At 43.4% G+C, this 12,509-nt stretch overlaps 1 protein-coding gene and 1 pseudogene across 60 annotated transcripts in view, besides 1 other annotated feature; one reads left to right on the forward strand and one right to left on the reverse strand.

Annotated features, from left to right (window-relative positions):
- Positions 1-12,509, forward strand: part of PXK (PX domain containing serine/threonine kinase like) — a 93,236-nt gene that overhangs the window by 43,274 nt on the left and 37,453 nt on the right. For 38 of the 60 annotated variants that reach the window (NR_146194.2, NM_001349488.2, NM_001289098.2 and 35 more), the window contains one exon: positions 6,349-6,535. The exons of 14 other annotated variants lie outside the window; for them this stretch is intronic. Coding sequence is in view for 45 of the 46 variants with exons in the window: in NM_001349488.2 (NP_001336417.1) it covers positions 6,349-6,535 (187 nt within the window). In the remaining variant the exon portion in view is untranslated. Of the gene's footprint in view, positions 1-1,743; positions 1,900-6,348; positions 6,536-12,509 lie in introns of all 60 variants that reach the window. 8 more of the 60 variants (NM_001349528.2, NM_001349529.2, NM_001349531.2 and 5 more) reach the window with 1 other exon arrangement.
- Positions 1,691-1,918: a silencer, noted in NCBI's record as "fragment chr3:58363583-58363810 (GRCh37/hg19 assembly coordinates)". NCBI's record gives its function as "represses an EF-1alpha promoter that drives an FKBP-Casp9 reporter gene in an ReSE screen in K562 erythroleukemia cells {active_cell/tissue: K562}" and the evidence as "EXISTENCE:reporter gene assay evidence [ECO:0000049][PMID:32094911]".
- WDR53P1 (WDR53 pseudogene 1) lies at positions 3,052-3,360 on the reverse strand (annotated as a pseudogene).

Consider the following 12,509-nt stretch of genomic DNA (forward strand, 5'->3'; position numbering starts at 1 on the left):
GCACTTTGGGAGGCTGAGGTGGGTGAATCACTTGAGATCAAGAGTTTGAGACCAGCCTGGCCAACATGGTGAAACCCCATCTCTACTAAAAATACAAAAATTAGCCAGGCGTGGTGGCAGGCACCTGTAATCCCACTTACTCGGGAGGCTGAGGCAGGAGAATTACTTGAACCCAGGAGGCGGAGGTTGCAGTGAGCCAAGATTGTGTCATTGCACTCCAGCCTGGGTGACAAGAGCGAAACTCTGTCTAAAAATAAATAAATAAATAAAATTAATTAATTAGCCTATGGTAAAATTAGTCTTGTTATTCATTTTGCTTAAAGTCCCAGTTTGTAAGAACCTATAGACAACATTAAGTGATAACTTAGCATACACACACGTAAATGAGATGATATTCTGCAACTTCATAAAATAGTTTCAGGGAAGATACATCAGTTGTGTTTTAGGTAATATATTACCCTTTATTATTTATTTATTTATTTATTTATTTTTGAGACAGAGTCTCACTCCATTACCCAGGCTGGAGTGCAGTGGTGCCATCGTGGCTCACTGCAACCTTTGCCTCCTGGGTTCAAGCGATTCTTGTGCCTCAGCCTCCTGAGGAGCTGAAATTACAGTCGTGTACCACCATGCCTGACTAGTTTTTGTATTTTTAGTAGAGATGGGGTTTTGCTATGTTGATTAGGCTGGTATCTAACTCCTGACCCCAGGTAGTCCACTTGCCTCGGTCTCCCAAAGTGCTGGGATTACAGGCATGAGCCACTGTGCCCGGCCTACCCTTGATTTAATTCATCATGTCCTTGAACCAAAAAATAAAGTGATTGGCTTGGATGTGCAATAGCTAAGTGATGTACTTTCTTCATATGTATGCATTTTATTCAGCTAAAAAAGAAACTGCTATTAGATAAAGCCTAACTGTATAAATGAGGCAAATGATGTGAAATTTGATTCTTATTTGGAAATGAATTATGCTGTGATAGAAAATTTACTCTGTGTATGCTCTGACATATTTTCGTAATTATATTTGAGAAATTGGCAATTTAGAATTATCCGCCAACCTTTTCATCTTGTCCAGTATCAAGTTCAAGGTCTTCATTTGGCTGCATCATTGTTGTTTGAAAAATACAGAATGGAACAGTTAGGTTTGCCCAATTTAATGGTTTAGATTACATCCTTTTCTGAATTCAGGATGCCCTTCTCTTTAGACCTTACCCTCGATCAATACACATGCCACTGGACTGCTCTAATATAAGCACAAGTCTAGAATAGTACTACTCTTTGAAAGTGACTTTGCTCATTAAATTAAAATGCCGATCTCATGCTTTGCTTTTTATGTTTAAAAAATAAACTCACAGTCCCAGCTACTCGAGAGGCAGGCTGAGGTGGGAGGATTACTTGCAACCAGGAGTTCAAGTACATAGTGAGACCCTATCTCTTTCTAAAAAAAAAAAAAAAGAAAAGAAAGAAAAGACTAAAAGTTTTAAATAATGTGGAAAATGATAGTAGATTGAGTACCTGTATTTACTTTTTCTCCCTCCCGAAATCAGTCTAGAATAATAGTGGATTGTTTATATACACAAACACACTCTGAAGGACAAACAGAACAGGAGAAGAAAAAACCACAATAAAACACTTTAAGCTGAAAATCCAGTGGGTGAGAGCTAACTGATTAAGCAAATGTAGGAAGGCAGAATTCTGAGATGGGAAGCAGATAATCTCATTGGGTCTCAATTTATATCACAGAACCCCTGGAAGGTTCCAGCATTGGCAGTACCAGGTGCTGCCCCCAGAGTGGGGTGAAGGTCAAGGAGTTGCAAGTCTGTTTAAGAAGCAGTCAGATCCCCAAATCTCCCATGTCCGTACAACTTATGCCTGCCCTCCTCCCTCTAGCAAAAAACCGTAAGTTTATTTTCTGGAGAGGGTCAGTCTTTAGGCTGGGGTATGCAGGCACATTTGAAAACATGTACGTACTATACGTGAGGACCCCACTCCCTCCCTAGCTTCCTTCTTCCTCTCAACTCCCAGAATTCTGGCAGTCAGGCTTCAGACTTTTCAGGCAGGATATTAGAAGATTGTTTTAGAGGAATCTGTCCTGCCTAAGAGGAAAGAGCTAAAGGTTTGTCCAGTAAAACAGCTGCATAGGGTCATCTGGTAAAATAAAGCCCACAGTAGATAAATCCCAGGGCACTCACCCAGAGGTTCCAGTCAACTTTTGGTGCCCCACTCTTGAATATGGGCTGATAACCAAAGGGTCACCAGACTCCTACAGGACTCATTTTTGTTTCTTATTTAAATGTTTTCATTGGATTTGGACTTCATTTTTCTTCTTTTTTTTTTTTTTTTTTTTTGTGTGTGTGTGTGTGTGTGTGTGTGTGTGTGTGTGTGTGTGACGAAGTTTCGCTCTTGTTGCCCAGGCTGGAGTGCAGTGGTGGGATCTCAGCTCACCGCAACCTCTGCCTCCCAGGTTCAAGCGATTCTCCTGCCTCAGCCTCCTGAGTAGCTGGGATTACAGGCATGCATCACCATGCTCAGCTAATTTTTTGTGTTTTTAGTAGAGATGGGGTTTCTCCATGTTGGTCAGGCTAATCTCAAACTCCCGACTTCAGGTGATTCGCCTGCCTCGGCCTCCCAAAGTGCTGGGATTACAGGCGTGAGCCACCGCGCCCAGCCGGACTTCATTTTTTTAAGGAGTATGTAGACATAACTAGTCTGATCAGATATTAGCATATATATTTTGGTAGCCCTTTATTATTATTATTAGTAGTAGTAGTATTTGAGACAGAGTTTTGCTCTGTTGCCCAGGCTGGAGGGCAGTGGTGCAATCTTGGCTTACTGCAGCCTCCGCCTCCTGGGTTCAAGCAATTCTCCTGCCTCAGCCTCCTGAGTAGCTGGGATTACAGGCACCCACCACCTTGCCTGCCTAATTTTTGTGTGTTTAGTAGAGACGGAGTTTCACCATGTTGCCCAGGCTGGTTTTGAACTCCTGACCTCAGGTGATCCACCCACCTCAGCCTCCCATAGTGCTGGAATTACAGGAGTGAGCCACTGCTCGCGGTAGCCCTTTATTTTTATACCTAAGAACTAGTTTACTTTTTCTCCATGTTCAATACTTAGCTTTGGTAAAAATTTGCCGTGTTCTTCCTTATCTGTTTCAGAAGCATTAGAGTTTCACCTACTTGGTGTAAGTTGCTCTTTAATTGTCTTCCTGTGGATATGTTTTGTAGGACTCTCTGCTTTTTCTAAATTTCACTACTCACATCCCACAACATTATCTTCCCATAATTCTGGCAAAAAGGAGTCCTGGGATACCTCTGAAGTGTGGCCCTTAAATCCCAGTTCCTGTTCATACCTGACTCCCACCAAGAAAGACTTTTAACTTGAAAGTGACCAAAACAAATAGGAAAAAAAGGAACCATCAGGAAGCAGAAGGTATGCAGTGAGAAGAATGCTTTAGACTCTTGAGGAAGATTATCTTTTGTCTTCTCAGAGAGATAAGAAATGGTATTACATTCAAGGTGCTATTAAGGAAGAAAAAGAATAGAAAAGAGTACTTACAAATAAAAAGTAACAGTAGACAACTATTTAGAAGGGCTAAAAGATAAAGGAAATACTCTTTAAAAAAAAGAAAAGCGAAATACAAAAATTAGTCGGGCATGGTGGTGCACATCTGTAGTCCCAGCTACAGGTGTGTACCACTTGTAGAGGCTGAGGTGACAGGATTGCTTGAGCTTAGGAGGTCGAGGCTACAGTGAGCGGTGATCATGCCACTGCACTTTAGCCTGGGTGACAGGGTGAGAACCTGTCTCAAAAACAAAACAAAACAAAAAGAGCAGAAAATTAAAAAGATAAAATTACAGGAGCAGTCCAGGAAGTCCAACATTGAAAAAATAGGAGTTTCAGTAAAAGAAAGCAGAAGGCATGGAGGGGAAGAAATAATGACCTAACAATACAATAAAAGGCCAAATAACTTAAGGAGATTAGTTTTTAGTTTGAAAGGACTGAGTGCTCACCATGAGGGATGAAAACAGACACATGAAAGTCACAAACTGAGGTCATAGAGAAGATCCTGAAAGCTTATGGGAAAACAACAACAAAAAATGGATCAAGAATCATTATGATTAGCTGTGTGTGGTGGCGTGCACCTGTAGTCCCAGCTACTTGTGAGGCTGGGGTGACAGGATCTCTTGAGCTCAGGAATTTGAGGCGACAGTGGGCTATGATCACGCCACCACACTGCAGCCTGAGTGACAAAGCAAGACCCTATCTCTTAAAAAAAAAAAAAAGGCATCAATATGCTTGAACCTTTAACAGCAGCACTATAAACTAGAAGACAACCAAATATTTATTTAAAATTCTGAAGAAAGGCCGGGTGCAGTGGCTCACGCCTGTAATCCCAATACTTTGAGAGGCCAAGGCAGGCAGATCACTTGATGTCAGGAGTTCGAGACCAGCCTGGCCAACAGGGTAAAACCCCATCTCTACTAAAAATACAAAAATTAGCCGGGTGCAGTGGCACATGCCTGTAATCCCAGCTGCTTGGAGGCTGAGGCAGGAGAACTGCTTGAACCCGGGAGGCGGAGTTTGCTGCACTCCAGCCTGGGTGACAGAGGGAGACTCTGTCTCAAAGTAAGTAAGTAAAGAAAGAAATAGAAATAAAATTCTGAAGAAAATGTATCCCCAACTTAAAATTCCACATCAACACTAGCTATAAATCAAGTATAAGGGGAGGATAAAGACATCCTTATATATGCAAGGTTTCAAAAAAATGTATCTCCTGCTCTCCTTTTTAACGCCAACAGAGGGCCAGGCGCGGTGGCTCACGCCTGTAATCCCAGCACTTTGGGAGGCCGAGGTGGGTGGATCACGAGGTCAGGAGATCGAGACCATCCTGGCTAACACGGTGAAATCCCGTCTCTACTAAAAATACGAAAATATTAGCTGGGCATTGTGGCTGGCGCCTGTAGTCCCAGCTACTTGGGAGGCTGAGGCAGGAGAATGGGGTGAACCCAGGAGACAGAGTTTGCAGCGAGCCGAGATCACGCCACTGCACTCCAGCCTAGGCGATAGTGCGAGACTCCGTCTCAAAAAAAAAAAAAAAAAAAGCCAACAGAGGTTACACTCTACCAAAAACAAGGGAATTATGTACAAAAAATGAATGTAGGGGATACAAAATGGGGTTTAGTATGACAAAAGCAAAAACATCTCTAGGATAAGGATGAAAGGAGGTCCCAGGATGCCACCTTTGCAGCAGTGTAGGGACCGCCAGTCCTGCTTGGAGTAGGTTGTTGGACTCTGGAAGGTACCCTTCAAAAGATAAAACTGACGCAGCTGTGTATCTGAATGTGTTGAGAGAAGGCTTGGATGGAGACTTTCAAGTTGAATAGAAAACCAAAAAAAAAAAAAAAAAAGACTACAAGTTGCTGTAAAGGAAAAGTAAGCATGGCTCTAGCTCAGTTGTGAATATTATTTACTTAAGGTAAATGTGAATATTGTACCAAATCGAATTATAATATAATGATGTCAGGAGGATTAGGGACAGGATGTGTGTGAGATGAGGTTAGGATTGTGAAAGAGAACTTAATCCTCATCTTCCATAATGGGAAATCTACAGATAATGCCTAAAAATGAAAAATCAAGCCATGACAGTATGAGCATTCCCCATTGTCAAAAGATCAGCTGAGAGACTCGAACGTGGCTGTCTTAGGGGAGCAGAGAATGGTTATGTCACCTGGTAGCAGGGGTAAGGGGTGTCATGGGACTGCCAGTAATAATTTAAGAAAGTGAGTTACTCTTGAAATTATGTTTTTATGTAACTTTAGTAAAAATAAAAGCACATTAAAAAAATAAAGTTTTAAAATTACTATGCCTGGCCAGATGTGGTGGCTCATACCTGTAATCCCAGCACTTTGGGAGGCCGAAGCTGGTGGATCACTTGAGGTCAGGAGTTTGAGATCAGCCTGGCCAACATGGTAAAACCCTGTCTCTCCTAAAAATACAAAAATTAGCTGGGCGTGATGTCACATGCCTGTAGTCCCAGCTACTCAGGAGGCTGAGGCAGGAGAATCTCTTGAAGTCAGGAGGTGGAGGTTTCAGTGAGCCAAAATCGCACCACTGCACTCCAGCCTGGGTGACATAGTAAACTCCATCTCAAAAATAAAATAAAATATGCTTAATACAGTATTTTATCAATTCTAAATGCAGTTTTTCACAATTTTTATATCACTGAAATTAGGATGCATCTAAAATCTGCATTGTCTTAGGTTTAATGAAATATGATAGGTCAAGATTTTTGTGTTGATTCTTATTTGTGGATGACATGAGTGTAACTTTTTTTTTTTTTTTTTAAAGATTGCAGGCCTAAGTCTACCTCTTCCTCCCAAAAAATTGATTGGTAACATGGATCGTGAATTCATAGCTGAAAGGCAGAAAGGTCTTCAGAACTATCTCAACGTGATCACAACAAATCATATCTTGTCTAATTGTGAGCTGGTTAAGAAGTTTTTAGATCCAAACAACTATTCCGCAAACTATACTGGTAAGCGAAGGAATCTGTGAATTATGGTCACATGGCTAAAGAGGCACTGTCCCTTGCTGGAGATAACGTATGTGGGAGAAATGTTTTCTCAAAATGGGGATGTGTATACATTTGTTATAGCATATTATGAATTTACTAAGATTTTCTTGATTGTAGTTTACTGTAGATGTATAAGAAGAAAATAAGTTACTTCCAAAATATTTGTAAAGTCTGCACAGAAAAATATGGAAGAGAAATTATTGTATGTATACTTATACTCTTGCCTTTATTGTCTTCCCTGACAGAACAGAGAGTAAGTAATCTACAATAGGCCAGACGCGGTGGCTCATGCCTATAATCCCAGCACTTTGGGAGGCCAAGGCGGTTGGATCACCTGAGGTCAGGAGTTTGAGTCCAGCCTGGCCAACATGGTGAAACCCTGTCTCTACTAAAAATACAAAAATTAGCCAGGCATAGTGGCACATGCCTGTAATCCTAGCTACTCGGGAGGCTGAGGCAGGAGAATCGCTTGAACCCGGGAGGTGGAGGTTGCAGTGAGCCGAGATAGCACCACTGCACTCTAGCCTAGGCAACAGAGCAAGACTCTGTCTTAAAAAGATAATAATAATAATAATTAATCCACAATAACGCATACAGTAATTTTTATATTACTTTTGACCTCTAATCAACACCTTATACATACAATAATCTTAATCTGATTTGTATTTGGCTCTGTTTTTGTATTTACAATATGTTGTGTGTTCTGTTTTTTCTGGGAATTTACTTTAAACACAGCAGTGATTCAGAAGGGTCCTCTCTGTGTCTTCCTATTTGCTCCCTGAGACCCACTCAGTGCAAAGCATAGGAGGTCATTCTCTTCCAAATCTTTCCTGGATCAGGGCAGCCGCCAAGGTACTGTGGTTGAAAGGGCTTCTCTTCCAGTACCGATTACACTCAAAGCTGGCATGAATAACCTAAGCCTGATGTCAGCAGAATGAGAAACTAAATACTTAATACATTCTGGTGTCACTTTGAAAAGAACAGTAGAAACCATTGTTTCACCTGATTTGTTTAAAGAGAAACCATGCTTTAGAGACTTTCTAAGTGGAACTATGGATATTGTTACTTTGCTTGCTAAGAGAATACACCATATCAGATAATTGAGTCCTTAAAACATTGCTTTTGAAGTAATTAGAGAGAGGCATTTTTATTCCTATTTTATTCCTTTTATTTATTTATTCATACCCATTCATTCACCAAAATATTCCTATTTCAGAGAGGGGAAACAGATGTCTACTTGGCAGGCACCAAGTTTTTCTCCACAGTAGAATCACCTGGGGAGCGTTAGAAAAATTTCTCATGCCCAGGCTGCGTGCATGCTGATTAAATCGGAGTCTTGTGGTTGGAGCTTGTAGTCTGTAAAGCTTCCCAAGTGATTCCAATATGGAGCCAAGTTTGAAAACCACAGCCCTTGAGGCTGGTGACTCACAGTGTGGTTCTCTGACCAGCAGCATTGGCATCACTGGGAGCTTGTTGAAGGTGCAGAATTCAGTCCTCATCCCAGACTTCCTGAATCAGGATCTGATTTTAACAAGGTCCCCAGGTGATTTGCACGCACATTAAAGCGTGAGAAGCCTCACGCTAGGATGTACCTGCCATTTCCTAACCGAAGTGCTCTACAGGGCTAAGGAAAATGCCTTTCTAGAGTGTAACCAAGAGAAGGAAAGTTTATTTCAAACTCACACTTACTGTAAGTTACCAAATGGAGCAGTGAGTTGTTACAAGGATTCCATTCCTGCCTTCACTTGTTTTTTTTGTTCACGGAAGAGAAAAGATAGCACAGATAGGACTGGGGCTCTAGGGACAGCTTGAATTCTGTCAAAGTAGCATCTTTTGTGGCTTTCATTTCTCAGTGTTTCACCTTGATTGTTCCCAAAATTGTCAGACAGCAGGCCATCTGGACTGACTTGTCAAATCAGCCCTAACCCAGGCCCACTCAGTGGTTTATCTCCCTCATTCCCTGCGAGTGCTTGCTAATGTTCTCCTGAGGGCAAGCATCAAGGTGTAGTGCACGTGTAATGATGCCATTTATTCAACAAATGTGATGTGTGCTGGGTGTTGGGATGCAGGCACAAATAAATGTGTTCCTTGCTCTCAGGGAGCTGGTACCAGAAGTACATTGAGTCCCATGGGGTCAGAGCTAAAAGGGATCTTAGAGCAGATGTATCATGTCTAACCCTCTCTTTTCATGAATGAGTTCACCTAAGGCCCCCAGAGAGGGAGGGCCCTAGCCAGGATTGCACATTTGTGTGACTTTAGTCTGGTCTGAGTGTTTAAGTTAAAATGCTTTGTAACTCCTAGAAGGTTGTCTATTCTGACAGTTGTTGGTTCTCTGCTTTTTTCTGTACCTGCCCCACATGCTGTTGTTGTCTTTGATCTCTACTCCCCCTCCCCACCCCCAGGCCTCCAGCATGGTAGAGAGTCAGGAGTCCAAAGCAGATGTGGGCAGGGGTATAAAAAGACCACCAGAAACTCCTGCCGGAACCTGTGCTGGCTGCTATTCAGAGGGCACAATCCCGGAATTAAACAATAGGTGATGGATGCTGTTTTCAGAGAGATGTTGATTTATTTCACCCTTTGAATGAAATTTCGGAGTTTGTCTAGCCTCAAGGCTGACATACCAGCCACCTCAGGAAAAGGAAGCATAGGCTGCCACCTCCATGCCAGCTTGACAGGACCATTCCTGAGATTCACAGCATGGCCCACGGAACATACCCTGCACGCCTCTCACCTTGTGGCACTTCTCTAAGCAGGGCCGCTTTCCCTGTTTGTTTTTTGAGCAAGGGTCTCACTCTGTTGCCCAGGCTGGAGCGCAGTGGCACTATCCCAGCTCTGTGCAGCCGTGACCTTCTGGGTTCAAGTGATCCTTGCGCTCCAGCCTCCTGAGTAGCTGGGATTACAAGTGCACACCACCATGCCCAGCTAATTTTTTCATTGTTTGTAGAGAGGGGGTTTCACTATGTTGACTAGGCTGGTCTCAAACTCTTGAGCTCAAATGATCTGCCCACCTCAGCCTCCCAAAGTGCTGGGATTACAGGCATGAGCCACTGTGCCTGGCCCACTTTTCCCTTTTAATGTGGATAATGTCTCCACCTCTTCTCATTTTCCACATGGTCTGCAGTCACCACCCAGCTTCATTTCAGCAGGATTTGAGTTCTGTGTTCAAGTGGTGGCCAGAATCAGCAGAGCACTTTTCCTGGTCCTTGCTCTGATGGAGGGTGAGGGTGTCTTGTTGGAGGGGGACTGTGATGGCATTCTGCTCCCAGGGGATGGCTAACTGGGAGCTCTCAGGACATTGGCAGCTTCCTTCTCTCTTCCCTGGGTCCCCAGCCTGGGACTGCTGAGCCTTTCTTTCTTTTCCAGGTTTTCTCCAGAAGAGCCAATCCTCAGAAAGGAAATGTAGACCCTTGGTCTTCTGTGAGGGAGTTGTGAGGTGTTCATTTGAATTAGAAAGTCTAATTGAGGGCCAGCTGTTGTGCAGGGAAAACAGGTATCTCCTGGTCCTGAGAAGTTTGTGTTGAGAATCTATCTCACACATATATCCCCCTTACTTTTTTTTTTTTTTTTTTTTTTTGAGACAGAATCTCACTCTGTTGGCCAGGCTGGAGTGCTGTAGCGTGGTCTTGGCTCACTGCAACCTCAGCCCCCCAGTTCAAGTGATTCTCCTGCCTCAGCCTCCCGAGTAGCTGGGATTACAAGCACCTGCCACCATGCCAAGCTAATTTTTTTGTATTTTTAGTAGAGATGGGGTTTCACGATGTTGGCCAGGCTGGTCTTGAACTCCTGACCTTGTGATACGCCCACCTCGGCCTCCCAAAGCGCTGGGATTACAGGCATGAGCCACTGCACCTGGCCTACAATATTCATCTTTTTAACAAGGTACTTCTATCATTTAAAAGCCTCACTGCACTGTAGCCATCTTCCTGCCTCAGTCCTTATACCCTCTTGGAGTAAGGGGGTTTTAATGTCCATGCAAAAGTCATTTGAACCAGAAATCAAGAGGCCTGTATCATGGTCCCAGCTTTGTCATTAGCAGCATTTCCTCTCAGTGGGCCCACATCCTGACCTATAAAACAAGAGGCTGGGGAGGGGGAATAGAGCAGGGAGTGCTGAAGTTCCCCTTTTAGGCCTAAAGCCCCAGGAATCCCTTGAAAAGGTAGGAAAGTAGTGGACTCTGGGATATAAAAAGGGAGAGAGTGGGGAAAGAGGACTATATTTAGAACAACAGCAGGGTATTTGGTGAGGTTGCAGGCCTTTCTGCAGTGCAATCTGCTGTGGTGGACTAGGAGTCTGGACCCTAGCTCCAGTCCTAGAGGAGTCAGTGTTTGTTCCCTGCAGTCATTCCATGGGGCTGCGATCCAGGAATTCAATGACTGCTCGCACTGGGGGCGCCTGGTACAACTGAGCTCTGTGGGAAGTACAGGATGGACTTGAAGGCTGTGCTCTCCATTTCCTGTCTCCAGCTTGTTTATCAGCACTTTCTGAGCATGCAGTTTTTCCACATGTGTCAGTCAGTTCCTGTGTCAGAACTAGAGGGCAGATGCCTTCCTTCTCATGGATTTCATGTTCTAATGGGAGAGAGTTTCCACATCTGCTGAACACAATTGAACCCTTGGTTCCTGCTTCATCAGATATTTATTGAGCATCTACTGTGTGCCATGTGCTATGTATGCAGCCAGGAGGAAAGAATAATTTCCCCAGTTCCTACTCCATGACAGTTACACAGGGAGATTGACAGGTGATGGCTGTGGCAGAGTAAATGTTAGGGAGCACCTTGGGGAAGGAGGCGGGGGCATGGATGATCCACACCTAAAGTTGAAGGAAGGCTTCCCAGAAGAGTTCATTCCTACACGGAGATCTGAGGGGTGAGTAGAAGGTAGCCAGGCCGAGAGGCAGTGGCCAGTGCTCTGGGCAGAGCAGCTTGAGAAGATATATCCTGGCTTTACCCTTCCAGCCAGAGCATACAGTCTAGGTGGAAGAGAGTAGCCCTAATAGAGGACATTCACAGGTAATCGCATAAGAGAGGGACACACAGAGCACTGGGAGTGTACAGAGGAGAGAAAGAAGGAGAGAGGGAGAGAGTCCTGGCTAATGGAGCAGAACATCTGGGCTGAGTCTGGGCCAGATGGAAAATGCTGAGGGAGTGGGGGCAGGCCAGTCTTTAGGGGCCATGGTAGGCAAATCTCAGAGTGCAGAGAGACCCCACACACTGTGGGAGATAAAGCCAGAAAGGTAGGTTAAAGCCAGAGGTTGGTTGAACACTCGGTTTATGTTTGGTCTTGATTTGGGCAAGGAAGTGGGGAACCAGTAAAGGCTTCTAAGCAAAGGAGTAGATGTTTAGGACTGAAATGTGTTGCCCGAGTCTGGGGAAGGAGGGGGTTATTATTTGGCACATGATAGTCATGCAGTTTATTTGACAGTAAATCACAGTTCAGTGGGAAGAAATTATCCTTTCTCCAATTCCCTGACCCTAAGTGAAAAAAGCTATTTCACAGTCCTCAGTTTATCAGTGAGAAATCCAGTATGTTCCATCTGTTCACAGCTATTTCCCCTGTTCCTAAAACAATGTATGGCACATAGTAGCATACAGTAGATATTGCTGAATAATGATTTTGTAGGGAATTCCGTGTCACTGTCGGTCTTTTAGAATGACATTGTACACATTAGAGAATTATTTTTCATGCTCCTTCTCAAAGTTGATATGAATGATTTTCACTTAATTTCCTTTTAAGTTTCTTTATGTTCGAGTTACTTTGGAAATACTAAAAACACTTTATATTAACATGAATTATAGAAGAAGTACAAAGTTCCCAGTGTTGATAATGAAAGTCTGTGTGTTTCTGCTGCACCCAGATCTTCCAGATGGTTTGTCACACTCTGGGGTAGTTAGAACAAATGTGAATGGAGCCAGTTTTGTATTTGGTCATCACATATC

Source organism: Homo sapiens, chromosome 3 (genome assembly GCF_000001405.40).
Source record: "Homo sapiens chromosome 3, GRCh38.p14 Primary Assembly".
NCBI classification, from domain to species: domain Eukaryota; kingdom Metazoa; phylum Chordata; class Mammalia; order Primates; family Hominidae; genus Homo; species Homo sapiens.